Raw genomic sequence first — 15,003 nt, forward strand, 5'->3', positions numbered from 1 at the left:
GGCTTTTAAAAAGAAAAGTTTAATGAACAAGCATTTCAGATGATATATAAAGAGGCCTATGTCACTGAAAATATTTAAAGCTTCTTGGTTTGTATTATACAGCTCATGTAACCGAGTTTCCAAAGCCAAACTTGAAACCTTAAACACACACACATGCACACCCAACAAACTTACAAACCAGTCTTAATCATAAATAAAGATACAGCAATCTGAAACAGTTTTGTCAAATTATATACATCAAGATCAAATGAAGTTTATTCTAAGAATGCAAAGATGGATTGCTATTAATCCATAGATTGCCATTAATATAGATCATGAGGTCTAAGGAGACCCAGAGCTAGATGACCATGTCAAAATATTACAGAAAAATTATTTGATAATTTTTAATATTTATTCCTTTAGGGGAATAAAAGCTCTCAATTAAATGTAGAAAGATATGTTCTTATCCTAACACCAATAGCTCTTATTATGTGTAGTCATTATCATTAAAACCAGGATTAAAACAAGCATGCCTTCCACCATGATTACTAGATAACCGTCAAACAATTCCAGACACTCAAATAAATGCAATATGATGAAAGACAAAAATAAGAGTTACAAACTTATGAAAGTAATACCAGATTATTATTCAAAGGAACATTATTGTTTTCCTGAAAGATCCTAACCCATGAGAACTGAGACATTAGCAAAATATATGGTTACAGAGTTAACATACAAAAAAATTAATAGCTAATGATTCTATTCAAATTAAGTTCTGCTCTGAAAGGCAATATTGCTTGAAAAGGAATATAAAGTTTCCAGTGACAGGTGATGGAGATGTTCTGCATCTTGATTAGAATGCTGATTAACAGATATATAATCCACATTTAAGATATATGAATTTTGCTGTATGCAAATTGGAGTAATACAGTATGTAGCCTTTTCAGACTGGCTTCTTTCACTCAGCAATATGTTTAAGGATCTTCCACGTCTTTTTGTGCTTTGATAACTCATTTCTTTTTATTGCTGAATAATATTTCATCATACGGATGTACCACAGTTTCTGTGTTCGTTCACCTATTCAAAGACATCTTGGTTGCTTCTAGTTGTTGACAATTATGAATAAAGTAGCTATAAGCATTCATGTGTAGGATTCTGTGTGAACTTAAATTTTCAATTCATTTAGGTAAATACCTAGGAGCACAATTACTAGATCATACAGTAAGACTATGATTAACTTTGTAAGAAACTGCCAAACTTTCTTCCTTGGTGGCTGTACCATTTTGCATTCCTGTCAGCACTGAATGAGAGTTCCTGTTACTTCACTTCCTCACCAGCATTTGGTATTATCAGTTTTGTTTTGTTTTTGTTTTTGTTTTTGTTTTGGATTTTAGCCATTCTAATAGGTGTGTAGTGGTATCCCATTGTTGTTTTAATTGACAGTTCTCTAATGACATATGACATTGAACATCTTTTCATATGCTTATTGGCTATCTGTATTATCTTCATTGGTGAGGTATCTGTTCAGATCTCTTGCCCAATTTTTAATTGAATTTTCTTATATTAAATTTTAAGAGAGATTTGTATATTTTGGATTCAAGTCCTTTATTGAATGTATGCAATTATTTTCTTCCAGTCGATGGCTTGTCTTTTATTCTTTGAATTTATCACAGCAGAAGTTTTAAATTTAATAAAGTCCAGCTTATCATTTTTTTCTTTCATAGGCTTTGCTTTTTGTGTTGTATCTAAAAACTCATGAAACCCAAAGTCACCTAAATTTTCTCCTATGTTATCTTCTACAAGTTCTATAGTTTTGCATTTTACATTTAGGTCTATGACCCATGTTGAGTTAATTTTTGTGAAAGATGTTAGCTCTTTGTCTAGATTCATGTTTTGCATGTGGATGTCCAGTTGTCCTGGCACCGTTTATTGAACAAACAGTCCTTTCTCCATTGAATTGCCTTAGCTCCTTTGTCAAAGATCAGTTGACTTTATTTGCGTGAGTCTGTCTCTGGACCCTATTCTGTTCTGTTGATCAGTTTCTCTGTTCTTTCATCAGTATTACACTGCCTTCATTACTGAACCTTTATCGTAAGTCTTGAAGTTGGATAGTGTCAGTCTTTCAATTTTGTTCTCCTTCAGTATTGCATTGGCTATTGGTCTTTTGCCTTTCCATATAAACTTTATAATCAGTTTGTCAATATCCATAAAATAACTTGCTTTGGGATTTTTATTGAGATTTTGTTGAATCTGTAGATCAAGTTGGGAAGAACTGACATCTTCACAATATTGAGTCTTCTCATCTGTGAACATAGAATATCTCTCCATTTCTTTAGACCTTCTTTGATTTCTTTCATCAGAGTTTTGCCATTGTCCACATACAGATCTTGTACATATTTTGTTAAATTTATACCTAAGTGTTTTCTTTCCTTCCTTTTTTCTTTTTGGTGTTAGTGTACATAGTGTTGTGTTTTTCATTTTAAATTCCAATTGTTCATTGATGGTATATAGAAAACCAACTGACTTTTGTATATTAATATTGCTTATTAGTTCCAGTATTTTTTGTTGTTGTTGTTTTTTGTCAGTTCTCTGAGATTTTCTACGTTGGCAATCATGTCATCTGCAAACAAAGTTTTATTTATTCTCAATCTGTATACTTGTAGTTCCTTTTCTTGCTTTATTGCATTAGCTAGGGCTTCCAGTGTGACATGGAATAGGAGTGGTGACAGGTAACATTCTTGTCTTGTTCTTTATCTATATGTAAATTATACCTCACTAAAATAAGTTAATAAAAACGTAATACTTCCCCTATATAGCAGGAGTGACTATGTAGAATATATAAAGAAATTTTTTTCATAATTGCAACAGAAAAACTTAATATTTAACCAACACAGAAAGAAAACTATAAAGCCTCACTGCAAGAAGGAGCATAAAAGAAGATTTGAATTAATGAAGAGAGAGATCACATTCTATCTCAAAGGGAGATTTAATATTGCCAGGATTGCCCAAATTAGTTATAATAAATAGCCTTATTGAAATCCAAATCAAAATTCTAATAATGGAATTCTTAATTAACCTATGGAAAATGAGTCCAAAGTTTATCTAAAAGTATAAACAGAAACAAGTAGTAAAGATATTTTTGAAAAACAAGAGTAATGAGGGGGGGGCCAGATTTGCTTTACCAAAAATCAAAACATGTCATTAAGTAATATTAATCAAAATATTGTATTACAAATATAAGAGAACAGATTAGGGTAACTAGATAGCCCTGAAACAGTTTGTTTATAACAGTTTTATTATATTTTTAAAATTTAAATATAATAAAGGTAGCAGTTCAAAATCTGGGCAAAGGATAAGTCAGTAAATGGTATTAGGAGAATTAATTACTTGGAAAAAATAAGTTAGAGCTTCATCACACACAGTATATCAAGGTAAATTACAAATGGATTGAACTTTTTGTCTTTGGTTTCTCAGGAAACCTTGGGGAGAAGTCTTAGTATAGGGCATTTAGTGTTGAGTGCACTGGGAGATAGAGTGAAGCGGAGTGGAGGCGGGCAGTCCCTCTAATACATGCTAATATGAAGAGCTCAGCTGACTCCACAGGTAGCTGGGGAGCTGGGCTAGCCCATCACAGCTGTCCCAAATTGAGACAAGGGCCTGTGTTCCCTGACATCAACCAGGTGTTGAATGTGGGATTTACCCTGGAGGGGCATGGTGTAGGGTGAGGCAACTCCCTTTGGCTCAGTGAGATTTCTGGGAGAGAGATTGAACAATGAGCCATCAGCATCCAACAGTCCAAGAAATTCGGGAATGAGAGCCTAAGTCTTCAAGAGGGGACCTGAGTGGCACACAACATCCACTACATAGTGTAGAAGATGAAATTATAAAACAAATAGAGGAAAATATTGGTAAATATTTCCAAAAACAGGATTGGGAAGGACTTTTCTTTGGTCAAAAACAAAACAAAACTCCATAGACAAAACAAAATCAAAGGCAGACAAACTATTGGGGGAAAATATTTTCAGTAAACATGATTGTTACCAAGTTTCTAGCCTTGACATATTAAAAAATACTCACAATAGATTTTTAAAGACTAATATTACAGGAAAAAAGCAGACAGTGCTCTTGAGCAAAAGAAAATATACAGGTGAGCAATAAACTTCTGGAAAAGTGTTCAATTTCATTAATAGCCAAAGGAATACAAATATAATACTATTTTTCCCCTTTAAGTTGACCAAAACTGAGGCCTATAGAGTTTAAGTAACTTCTTCAAAGTCCCATCACAGGAACATAACAGAGGAGGCATTCAAATCTAGGGTTGAATGCTGGTTTAATGTGGCACAATATAAACACATGTAATCAAAGCCTCATTAAATAGTAAAGGGATTATTTAAAATAGTAGACCAGAAGAACAAAGAAAACAGGAGAGCAAACACAGCAATATAATTTAAGAAGTTAAAAGCACAGGCAACAAAAGCAAAAATAGACAAATAGGATTACATGAAACTAATAAACATTTGCACAGCAAAGGAAATAGCAGAGTGAAGAGATGGCCTAAAGAATGGGAGAAAATATTTGCAAATTATACATCTGACAAGGGGTTAATATCCAGACTATATAAGGAACTTAATAGCAAAAAAAAAACTAACCTGATTTTTAAATGAGCAAAAGACCTTCACAGACATTTCTCAAGATAAACAAATGGCCAACAGATACATGAAAAAATGCTCATTACTAACCATGAGGGAAATACAAATCAAAACCACAATGAGATACCATCTCATCCAGTTAAAGTGACTATTATTTTAAAAGAGACAAAAGAAAACAAGTGCCGGTGAGGATGTGGAGAAAAGAAAACACTTGCACACTGTTGGTAGGATTGTAAACTAGTACAGCCATTATGGAAAACAGTATGGAAGTTCCTCAAAAAATTAAAAATAGAGCTACCACATGATCCACCAATCCCATTACTGTATATATATCCAAAGGAAATCAGTATATCAAAAGATATCTGCACTCTTAGGGTTATTGCAGCATTATTCAAAATAGTGAAGATATGGAATCAACCTAAGTATCCAACAATGGATGAATAAAGACAATGTGGTATATGTACACAATGGAATACTATTCAGCCATAAAAATGAAGGAAATCCTGTCCTTTGCAACAACATGGATCAGCTTGGAGGACATTATGTTAAGTGAAATAAGGCAGCCACAGAAAGACAAATACTACATGATCTCACCACTCATATGTGGTATCTAAAAAAAGAAAAAGAGGTGATATAGAAGCAAAGAGTAGAACAGTGATTACTAGAGACTGGGAGGGGAGGAAGGAGAGAATGGGGAGAGGATGGTTAATAGGTAAAAGGTTACAACCAGGAGAAATAGGTTCTAGTGTTCTATTGAACAGTAGGGTGACTATGGTTAATAGTAAAACATTGTGTATTACTAAATACTAGAAGAGAGGCTTGTGAAGGTGGTTCTCACCACAAAAAAAAAGATGATAAATGCATGAGGTAATAGATATGCTAAATACCCTGATTTGATCATTATACAATGTAGATATTAACCAAAACATCAAATTGTTCTCTATAAATATGTACAATTCCAATTTGTCAATTAAAAAATAAAAACCAAAATCTAGAAAACAAATGGAGAAAGGGTAACTTCCTTGGAAACCTGATGAAGTTGAATCCTAAACTAGGAGTCAGGAAGACCTAGAACCAACTATAGAACCTCCCAAAACCTTAAGATTCGGCAGTAATTCCAGGAACCCCTGGGAATGGGGGTGGAGGTGGAACTACAGGTCAGAGAATTGGTTGAATGACTATGGAAACACCAAGCATTGTATACAAAAATAGGGTGTAAAGGCAGTTTTACATACTGAATGCTGAGACCCTGGCCCTCTTCCTAGCTTGCTGGCAAAGTATCAGTAACCAGAGCCACACCCTCCAGGCAGGAGACTGAAAGGAAAGATATGACATTGACATCCAGGATTCCCTAAGTTATATTACAAAGCCTGTTTCTTTCCCACCACACCAGGTTGTGATATTCTCCAAATCAGATTTAAAGAGTTGTAAAACAACAATCTTGACAATTGGTTTTATTGAGGTTGGGGGTATAGGTGGGAGAAGAAAACAGTACAAAAAGGCACCACACTGTGGTCCTAGTGTGACCTTGCTTGCCTATGAGGACTGGCCTTTCGTTCCAGCACTGCTTTTCTCAAACCCTAAAAAACAGGCTATGCCTTGGTTTTCAGGTTTTCAGCCTGAGCTGTTTGCTCCTGTGAGACCTCAAATTTATTTCACCTGTGTGTCTGGTGGGAAGGTGCTGATCTTCAATCACCCTTACGGCCCTGCTTACTTCAAACTCAGCATGTGGTAAAGAGAGCATGGCCTCCAGGGAATATTCTCCCACCGGCTCCTTCCTCTCCCTGCAACTTGCACATCCTGGGTGGCCTCTCCCCACTTTTGTTTGCCGGTTTTAAAAAGTTGAGGCCATAGAGACTGTGGAACATGAAGCACAGGCTTTTTCTGGAGGCCCTGTCTTGGTGTCCCAGGTTCTCACTTGCTACATTGCTCTGAGCCCTTGGGAAGGCTGAGGGAGGATGAGATGATGATACTCTAGGAAGGAGGAAGACACCCTCAGGATTAATAATAATCGATCATAGCAGCCATGATGGCTGTACCAGACACTGTGAGATGCACTTTCCTATATTATCACAGAAGTCTTCATAAGCCTCTATTTCATGGATGAGGAAAGTGAGGCACAAAGTGATCAAGATCACACAGCTGAAAGCACTCTCCTGAGCCACCTGGATGTGAACTAAGTCTGTCTCATTCCAAGGACATCACTCTCCCTACCACCTCCAGTTCCTCTCAGGCTATGCAGCTCATCAGCAGAGGACTTAGTGTGCAGCTGTTATTAGATCAGTGACTTTCAGTCTTGGCTTCACATTATATCCACTTGGGGAGTTTTTAAAAACCCCGTTGACTCCATTGAGAAGCAAGGTTGAGAACTACTTATCATATACACACACATAACCCTAGAATACAAAGTTGGTATCATCTTAAAAGCTAATGTTAACCTCATTCTTAAACTTTAAGATTACACCTTGGGTAATCTCATGACCACTTTGAGCATCTTATTTACAAATTTATTTTCATGTCAAGCTAACAGGCATGGTAACTAAACAAAAACACAGAACATAGCTTCATTGGGCTTGGGAATTCTAGTTGCTGCCATACATGCCCATGTGTGATAGGGAGTCATAATTCTGAAGAGTTAGAAAACGCAGGTTCAAGTTTCAACCCTTTTACTAGATAGGAAAAACCAAACTGCTTTTCTTTGTGCTCATACTCAACACACAACTCTTCTGACATCAAATGTTGGGGGCAGTGGGTTCCCACACTAGCCAATTCTCCAACTTCCAGACACCAACTGGGTGTTCTACAATTTAACTCAATTTTTATACTGTCTACCTGGCAATAGCATGAGATCCCATAAGTTAAGAGCTCAGCCCCACAAGACTGCTCCCACTTTAGATGCCAGTCACAAGTCCAGGTTGCCACCTATGCTTTTGACTGAGTGGCAGTAAATCAGAGGTTCCCACAACCCCTTCCTCGGGTTTAATAATTTGCTTGAACAGCTTACAGAATTCAGGAAAACCATATGCTTAGTAGCTTACTGCTTTATTAGAAAAGAATACAACTCAGGAACAGCCAGAAAGAAGACGTGCCTAGGGCAAGGTATATGGGAGGGGCACAGAGCTTCCATGCCCTTTCTGGGCATCCCACCCTCCTAGCACTGTTATGTGTTCAGCAATCCAGAGGCTCTCTGAACCCTATCATTCTGGGTTTTGATGGAGGCTTCATTACATAGGCATGCTTGGTTAAATCACTGGCCATTAGCAATGAACTCAACTTCTAACCCCTCTCCTCCTCTCCCCAGAGGTCAGGGGTTCCGGCTGAAAGTTCCAGCCCTCTAATCACTTGGTTGGTTCCCCTGGCAACCAGCCCCCATCTGGAGGCTTTCCAGGAGCCCCCAGCCACCATCATCTCATTAGCATACAAAAAGAAGCTGTGTGCCAAGAAACCAGGCAGAGACCAAATATATATTTCTTATTATGTCACAACCACTTAACCACCTTTGTGATCTTGACCTTGAAATGTCTCGTGAAACAAAGAAGCCAGCGTGATTTTTGAACAGAAGAATGACATGCTGGGGGTGGAGGAGATCCTTTCCCAAATACTGGAAAGCTAGAGACAAAGATGTTTTCAGGGAAGTCAGGGTATTAATAATGCCACCCTTATCCACACATTCCAACCTCCATGAAGTTGAAGCTATGGAGTACAATCTAATGCTGATTCTGTCTTAAGCATCAGGAGAGCCTTCTTTGTAAGAATTCCTTAAATAGAAGCATATGCAGTATACTACTGGTCTTCCAAAATGGAGATTTAAGTTCAAGCCTGCAAGAGCAGTGGCAGAGCAAGAATCCAGTGTGACTTCATATTACCATAAACGTCTTATCCATCAGGGAAATGAATGCCAGGAGGGGCCCCATGACAAGGACTGCTGTATCTGCCTTTGCCTGTGTGGTCACACGTCTCTGACCCAATAAATTAGGATCTTACTCTAACTTGAAGTGGGTGTATGGTCTGTCTCAACTCTATATCACCTGTATGCTTGTAGACTGGCAAAGAAAGTCCTGGATTTGAGATTTTAGTTGGGGGAAAGAAAGGTGGTACAAGTGGGAGGAAGTAATCACTTCTTAAACTTACACACATAGAGGTGGTTTAGGAGCCTGCCAAGAACCTTTTTATCTTCCCCAATCTTTGTTCAGGCTCTCCCTTTCAGAAAACGAACAGTGTGTCTTGCCGACGATTCAATTTAATCATACAGCCTATTTGCCCAAGCTTTGCTTTATAAGCACCAGGCAGGCACATGGTCTCTTCCAAACTTTGTTTCTTGACATTCTGGAGAAGCATTAGTTTGCTTGTGTCCATTGATTTGCTTGTGTCCTTTAAGCTTGCTTAGCAATAAGGCTGCAGGAGGCAGGGTGAGCAGCATGGACTTTCACAGGTGGCTCTTGCTTCTCCCTGCTGTGTTTATTCCACCTCTGCTTCAGCTCATTTTAGACTCCTATTTCTCTATTAAGCCTTGACGTCAGTTTTTATGTTATAAAACTTATGTCTGTGCCTGTTCTGTTATAAACCACCTTGAAGCCTTTTTGAAAAAATGAAAGACATACATCACAGACCAACATTGTCATCTCAGACCTCCATGTCTGTGGTGAGAGCACGATATACACCACATCAGGGGTCTGCTGGTAAAGCTCTCAGCTGGGGATGTTGCCTGGCTGGGGCACATCTGGAGATTCAGATCATGTGGAGCCACCCAAGAGACCTGGCCAGGCATCTGAGACTCTAGCCACATTACAGGGGCACAGAATGGTGAGCTGACATCTAGAACATTGAATCGCTCAGCCCCATCTCCACGGGAGCTTTGCAGGGAAGCTTGTTTGCTACAGTGAGTTGTACAGAACAGAAGTATTGGCATTTTTATATTGGATTCTTGCAGCACCTCTGTGAATTAGCATAAGATAGAAAGAACAGAGGTTTGGAGTAAGACAGACCTTATCCTTGAGCAGGAGAAGGACACAAGGTCTGTGACAGAAGAGGTTGGCCATATAGCAGGGTACTTTTCCTGCCACCCCATCATGCACCCCCTCCCCCATTAAACAGAACCCAGCAAGCCCAGCTCAGAGAGGGGCATAAGGAGCCAGGCAGACTTTTTCACTGGTAGCAGAAGCTTGTCACATTCTACTTTAAATGTCATATAACCATTTTTTTTTCAAATGGATATAAATTCCTAATTTGGCTTTTTCCTTTACACATTCCTTTGGCATATGTACTAAGCACATGTTTAAAAAAAAAAAACTAGCTGTAGTTCACTTCTGATTTTCTTACTTTAAAATGATCGTCACTTCATACTCATGCATATTTCATTATGTAAACCGTAAGATCCTTTTTGAACTCATGGGAGGAAGGGTAGGCAAGTGTAAAGATACAGTTTTGTGGGTCATACCAAGTTCGCACCTACAAGAATTCCATAGTGAGACCTATTTCCACCCACGTGACTTCCAGTGCACAGATATTCAGCTGGGTGTATCTAAATGTCACTGCACAGCATTTGTGAATGGTTATAAAGAAGAAAAATGATACAACATGCTGCTTTGAGGCCATTGGTTTTTTCCTTTTTTTCTTTTTTGTTTTTACCTCCTAAAGTTCAAAATTAGAACTTTGTTTAATTAAATACACATCTTCATCTAGGCTTATGTTGTTAGAGAAACTCCTGTTTATCTTAATATCTCTGAAACCAGGATGTGTCTTATGGTCTCTGTGAGCCAGACTCATGACGTAGTTACCATTGCCTGTGATGGGTGAATATTGGTTGTAGTTGTTCACCTCATCATCTCTCCATTTGAGGCAAATGCATCATTGGTGCTATGTGTATTTAACTGCTGTTTTAAAAGCCTTCACAAAGATTTACTGTGATTTAGCATTGAAACAAAAAGTTGTTGTGTGTGCAGAAGGGCAAGCAGACCAGCAGGCCAGGAATTTGATATTCATGGAACAAATGTCATCATTGTGAGAATGGTCTCCATTCCATATTCCAAAGCAACAACCAAGTTCTACAACGGAACAAAGGAAAGAAGACACTCACGGAGCAGTTGAAACTAGGTATTTTGTTGCTGAGATGCTTGCAAAAAGATTGGCAGTTACACACTACTTACTATAACTGAAGGCAGCAGGGATGTATGATAAACTGGTTAGATAAGTCTAAAGGAGTTCTTTCAATAAGGATAGAATAAAGATTGTAAATGGAAGAAACCATTGTGACATAGTTTAATTGCTAGCTTTTTTCTTTCTAACTGGCACAAAAAAATAGTGTATTTCTTCTTACATTTGATGAAATATGGGACCTAAAAAAGAAGAACTAGGAAGTCCTACCCACAGCAATCAGTCAAGAGAAAGAAATATAGGGCATCCAAATTGGAAAACAGGAAATCAAACTGTCAGTGTTCTCCAATGATATGATCATATATATAGAACACCCTAAAGACTTATCCAAAAGGCTCCTAGATCTGTAAACAAATTCAGCAGAGTCTCAAGTTACAAAATCAATGTACACAAATCAGTAGTACTGCTATACACCAAAAACAACCAAGCTGAGAATCAAATCAAGAACTCGATCACTTTTACAACAGCTGAAAAAAAAAGAAAACCCTAGGAATATACTTAACCAAGGAGGTGAAAGATCTCTACAAGGAAAACTACAAAACACTGCTGAAAGAAATGACACATAACACAAACAAATGGATTCACATCCCATGCTCATAGATGGGAAGAATCAATATTGTGAAAATGACCAGACTGCCAAAAGCAATCTACAGATACAATGCAATTCCTGTCAAAATACCATTATAATTTTTCACAGAACTAGAAAAAACAATTCTAAAATTCATATGGAACCAAAAAAGAGCCCACATAATCAAAGCAATACTAAGCAAAAAGAACAGATCTGGAGACATCACATTACCAATCTTCAAATTATACTACAAAGCTACAGTTACCAAAACAGCATGGTACTTATATAAAAACAGGCACTTAGACCAATGGGACGGAATAGAGAACCCAGAAATAAAACCAAATACCTACAGCCAACTGATCTACAAACCATGCAAAAACATAAACTGGGGAAAAGACACCCTATTTAATAAATGGTGCTGGGAAAACTGGCAAGTCATATGTAGAAGAATGAAACTGAATCCCTATCCCTCGCCTTATACAAAAATCAACTCAAGATGGATCAGACTTAAATCTAAGACATGAAACTATAAAAATTCTAGAAGATAACGTTGGAAAATCTCTTCTGGACATTGGCCTAGGCAAAGAATTTATGACCAAGAACCCAAAAGCAAATGCAACAAAAACATAAATAAATAGGACCTAATTAAACTAAAAAGCTTCTACACAGTAAAATAGGCAGTGTAAACAGACAGTATTTGCAAACTGTGCATCCAACACAGGACTAGTATCCAGAATCTACAAGGAACTTAAATCAGCAAGACAAAACCAATCCCATCAAAAAGTGGGCAATGGACATAAAAAGACATTTCTCAAAAGAAGATATACAAATGGCCATTAAAAATGAAAAAAATGTTCAACATTACTAATCATCAGGGAAATGCTAATTAAAACCGCAGTGAGATGCCACCTTACTCCTGTAAGAATGGCCATAATTTAAAAGTCAAAAATCAATAGTCGTTGGCGTGGATGTGGTGAAAGAACACTGTTACACTGTTGGTGGAAATGTAAATTAGTAAAACCACTATGGAAAACAGTATGGAGATTCCTTAAAGAACTAAAAGTAGATCTATCATTCTATCCAGCAATCCCTCTACTGGGTATCTACCAAAGAATAAGAAGTCATTATATGAAAAAGATACGAGCACATGCATGTTTATAGCAGCACAATTCACAATTACAGAGATATGAAACCAACCTAAGTGCCCACCAACCAACGAATGGATAAAGAAAATGTGGTATACATACACTATGGAACACTACTCAGCCATAAAAAGAAACAAAATAATGTGATTTGCAGCAACTTGGATGGAGCTGGAGTCCATTATTCCAAGTGAAGTAACTTAGGAATGCAAAACCAAATACTGTATGGTATCACTTATAAGTGGCAGCTAAGCTATGATGATGCAGAGACATACAGAGTGATATAATGGACTTTGGGGACTCAGAGTGTAGGGGGACGTTGGGAGGCGGGTGAGGGATAAAAGACTACATACTGGGTACAGCATACACTGCTCGGGTGGCAGATGCACTAAAATCTCAGAATTCACCACTGTAGAACTCATCCATGTAACCAAAAACCACCTGTACCCCAAAAATACTGATTAAAAAATATAGCTTAATAATAGAAAATGAAAAACAAAGACAAGCTATAGTTTCTTCAGATAACTATTGTACCTGTTGCCCAGTTGTTACATGAAAAACTCATAAAATTTACTCCCAGAATCACATATGTCTACCACTTACCTGGCCACAAGCTCACTTGTCCTCAGATGGTTTTGACTTGGGCAACAAAAATTTCATGGCATCTTTGAAGAAGGAAGCTATTAAGGAGTCTATGGTCTTTTTTTTTTTTTTCCTTTTGAGATGAAGTCTTGCTCTGTCACCCAGGCTGGAGTGCAGTGGTACAGTCTCAACTCACTGCAACCTCTGCCTCCCAGGTTCAAGCAATCCTCCTGCCTTAGCCTCCCAAGTAGCTGGGATTACAAGCGCGAACCACTACGCCTGGCTAATTTTCGTATTTTTAGTAGAGACGGGGTTTCACCATGTTGGCCAGATTGGTCTCGAACTCCTGACCTCATGATCCACCCACCTTAGCCTCCCAAAGTCCTGGGATTACAGGTGTGAGTCACCGTGCCTGGCCAAGTCTATAGTCTTACAGATGGAGATGCTGAAGCCCAAGCCCAAAAGCCTCCATTATGTATTTATTCACATAGAGCATGAGAATGTGCTGCACGGATGCCTTCGTCCAGTGCTCCAGGTGGACTCTCTGGGCATAAAGGGGAATAGAGGGGAAGGAGAGGAAAAGAGGGTAGGGAAGTGGTTTCTCTTTGAGCAGTTATTCATTCTGCTCTTGGAAGTTTTTATTTTCTCCAGCCTCTGCTCCAGGACACCTTCCCTCCAATTCACTCTCTCCTGTCCCTTCTCCCCTAACCCACAGCTACTTCTTTTGCTTCTGTTCACTTCTCTCCTCCCTTCCCATCCCTCTTCTAAACTTTGTGGTGGCAGATTAGTTGGGGTGGAGAAGGATATGGGAGCATGTAGGGAGAAAGCAACACAAACAGGCCTTGGGGAAACACTTTGAAAACTTATTGGGAACCTTCCCCACCTCAACCCCTGCCATCTCTAGATCAGGAGTTGGCAAACTACAGCCTGCCATCTCTTCTTATAAATAATGTTATATTGAAACAGCCACACCCGTTCATTTACATCAGATCTGTGGTTTCACCCTACAGTGGCAAAATTGAGTACTGTAATTTTGGTCAGGACCATATCCATCAAGCCTATAATGTTTACTATCTGATCATTTACAGAAAGTAAAGTTGTTGACTCCCATAAGTGCCTCCCTGAGAGTATTCTACAGAATTCTCATTCTGCAAAATGTTAAATAGGTATTGCTGGCAAGAAAATTCTATAGTCAAATCATTTTGGAAACCCTGCTTTTTAATTCCAGGACTTCTTAGAGTTTTTAATAAGTTAATGTGCATTATGAATTTCTAAGAGGTTGCCATAGTTTGCAGCATTTTCCCAAGTTTATTTGGGAACCCTTTTCTTACAAGTACAGAGTGATGGGTAGAGCTCCTGAGAACACACTTTGGGAAATGGCTCTTTAACAATAGCCAAGATACATTGTTAAGTGAGAAAAACAAGGTGTGTCCAGGACACACTCATCTGTGTGAAAAGTAGGAGAGGGAAAATGTAGCTAAGTGTTTGCTTGTGACGTTTTAATTGTGTCTGGAAAGGTCCATGAGGAACTGGTAATGCTACTCACCTTCAGGCGGGTTAAAGCTGGGAGAGAGACATCACACAGTAGTTATTTTCTGCATCTTGACTCTTGCATTATGCCAATATACTTTATTACCTAAACAATCAATTAATCCATCTGTCAGTCAACATAATTAAATTTTTAAACCAAAAGGTAAAATAGTAAAGCACTTGGAAAACAGTTTGGCAGTTTTTAATCAAGTTCAATAGACACTTACCATGTGTCCCAGAGTTCCATCTCTAGGTATTTTCCCAAGATAAATGAAAACATGTGTCCTCACAAAGAACTTGTAAACAAGTGTTCATAGCAGCTTTATTCATAATAGCCCTAAACTGGAAACAATTCAGCTGTTTATCATCAGATGAATGAATATACGAATTGGTCATATCC

General features: G+C 38.1%; 1 protein-coding gene and 1 long non-coding RNA gene across 5 annotated transcripts in view; one reads left to right on the forward strand and one right to left on the reverse strand.

The window, feature by feature from the left end:
• The window catches only part of TMEM108 (transmembrane protein 108), a 359,385-nt gene that overhangs the window by 306,588 nt on the left and 37,794 nt on the right, over positions 1–15,003 (forward strand). The gene's annotated exons all lie outside the window — the stretch shown is intronic.
• The window catches only part of LOC101927432 (uncharacterized), a 48,388-nt gene that overhangs the window by 11,573 nt on the left and 21,812 nt on the right, over positions 1–15,003 (reverse strand). For both annotated transcript variants that reach the window (NR_189054.1, NR_189053.1), the window contains 2 exons: positions 14,831–14,945; positions 14,620–14,709 (listed from right to left, as the gene is read on the reverse strand). This is a non-coding gene — a long non-coding RNA (uncharacterized LOC101927432). The remainder of the gene's footprint in view (positions 1–14,619; positions 14,710–14,830; positions 14,946–15,003) is intronic.

Source organism: Homo sapiens, chromosome 3 (assembly GCF_000001405.40).
Source record: "Homo sapiens chromosome 3, GRCh38.p14 Primary Assembly".
NCBI classification, from domain to species: domain Eukaryota; kingdom Metazoa; phylum Chordata; class Mammalia; order Primates; family Hominidae; genus Homo; species Homo sapiens.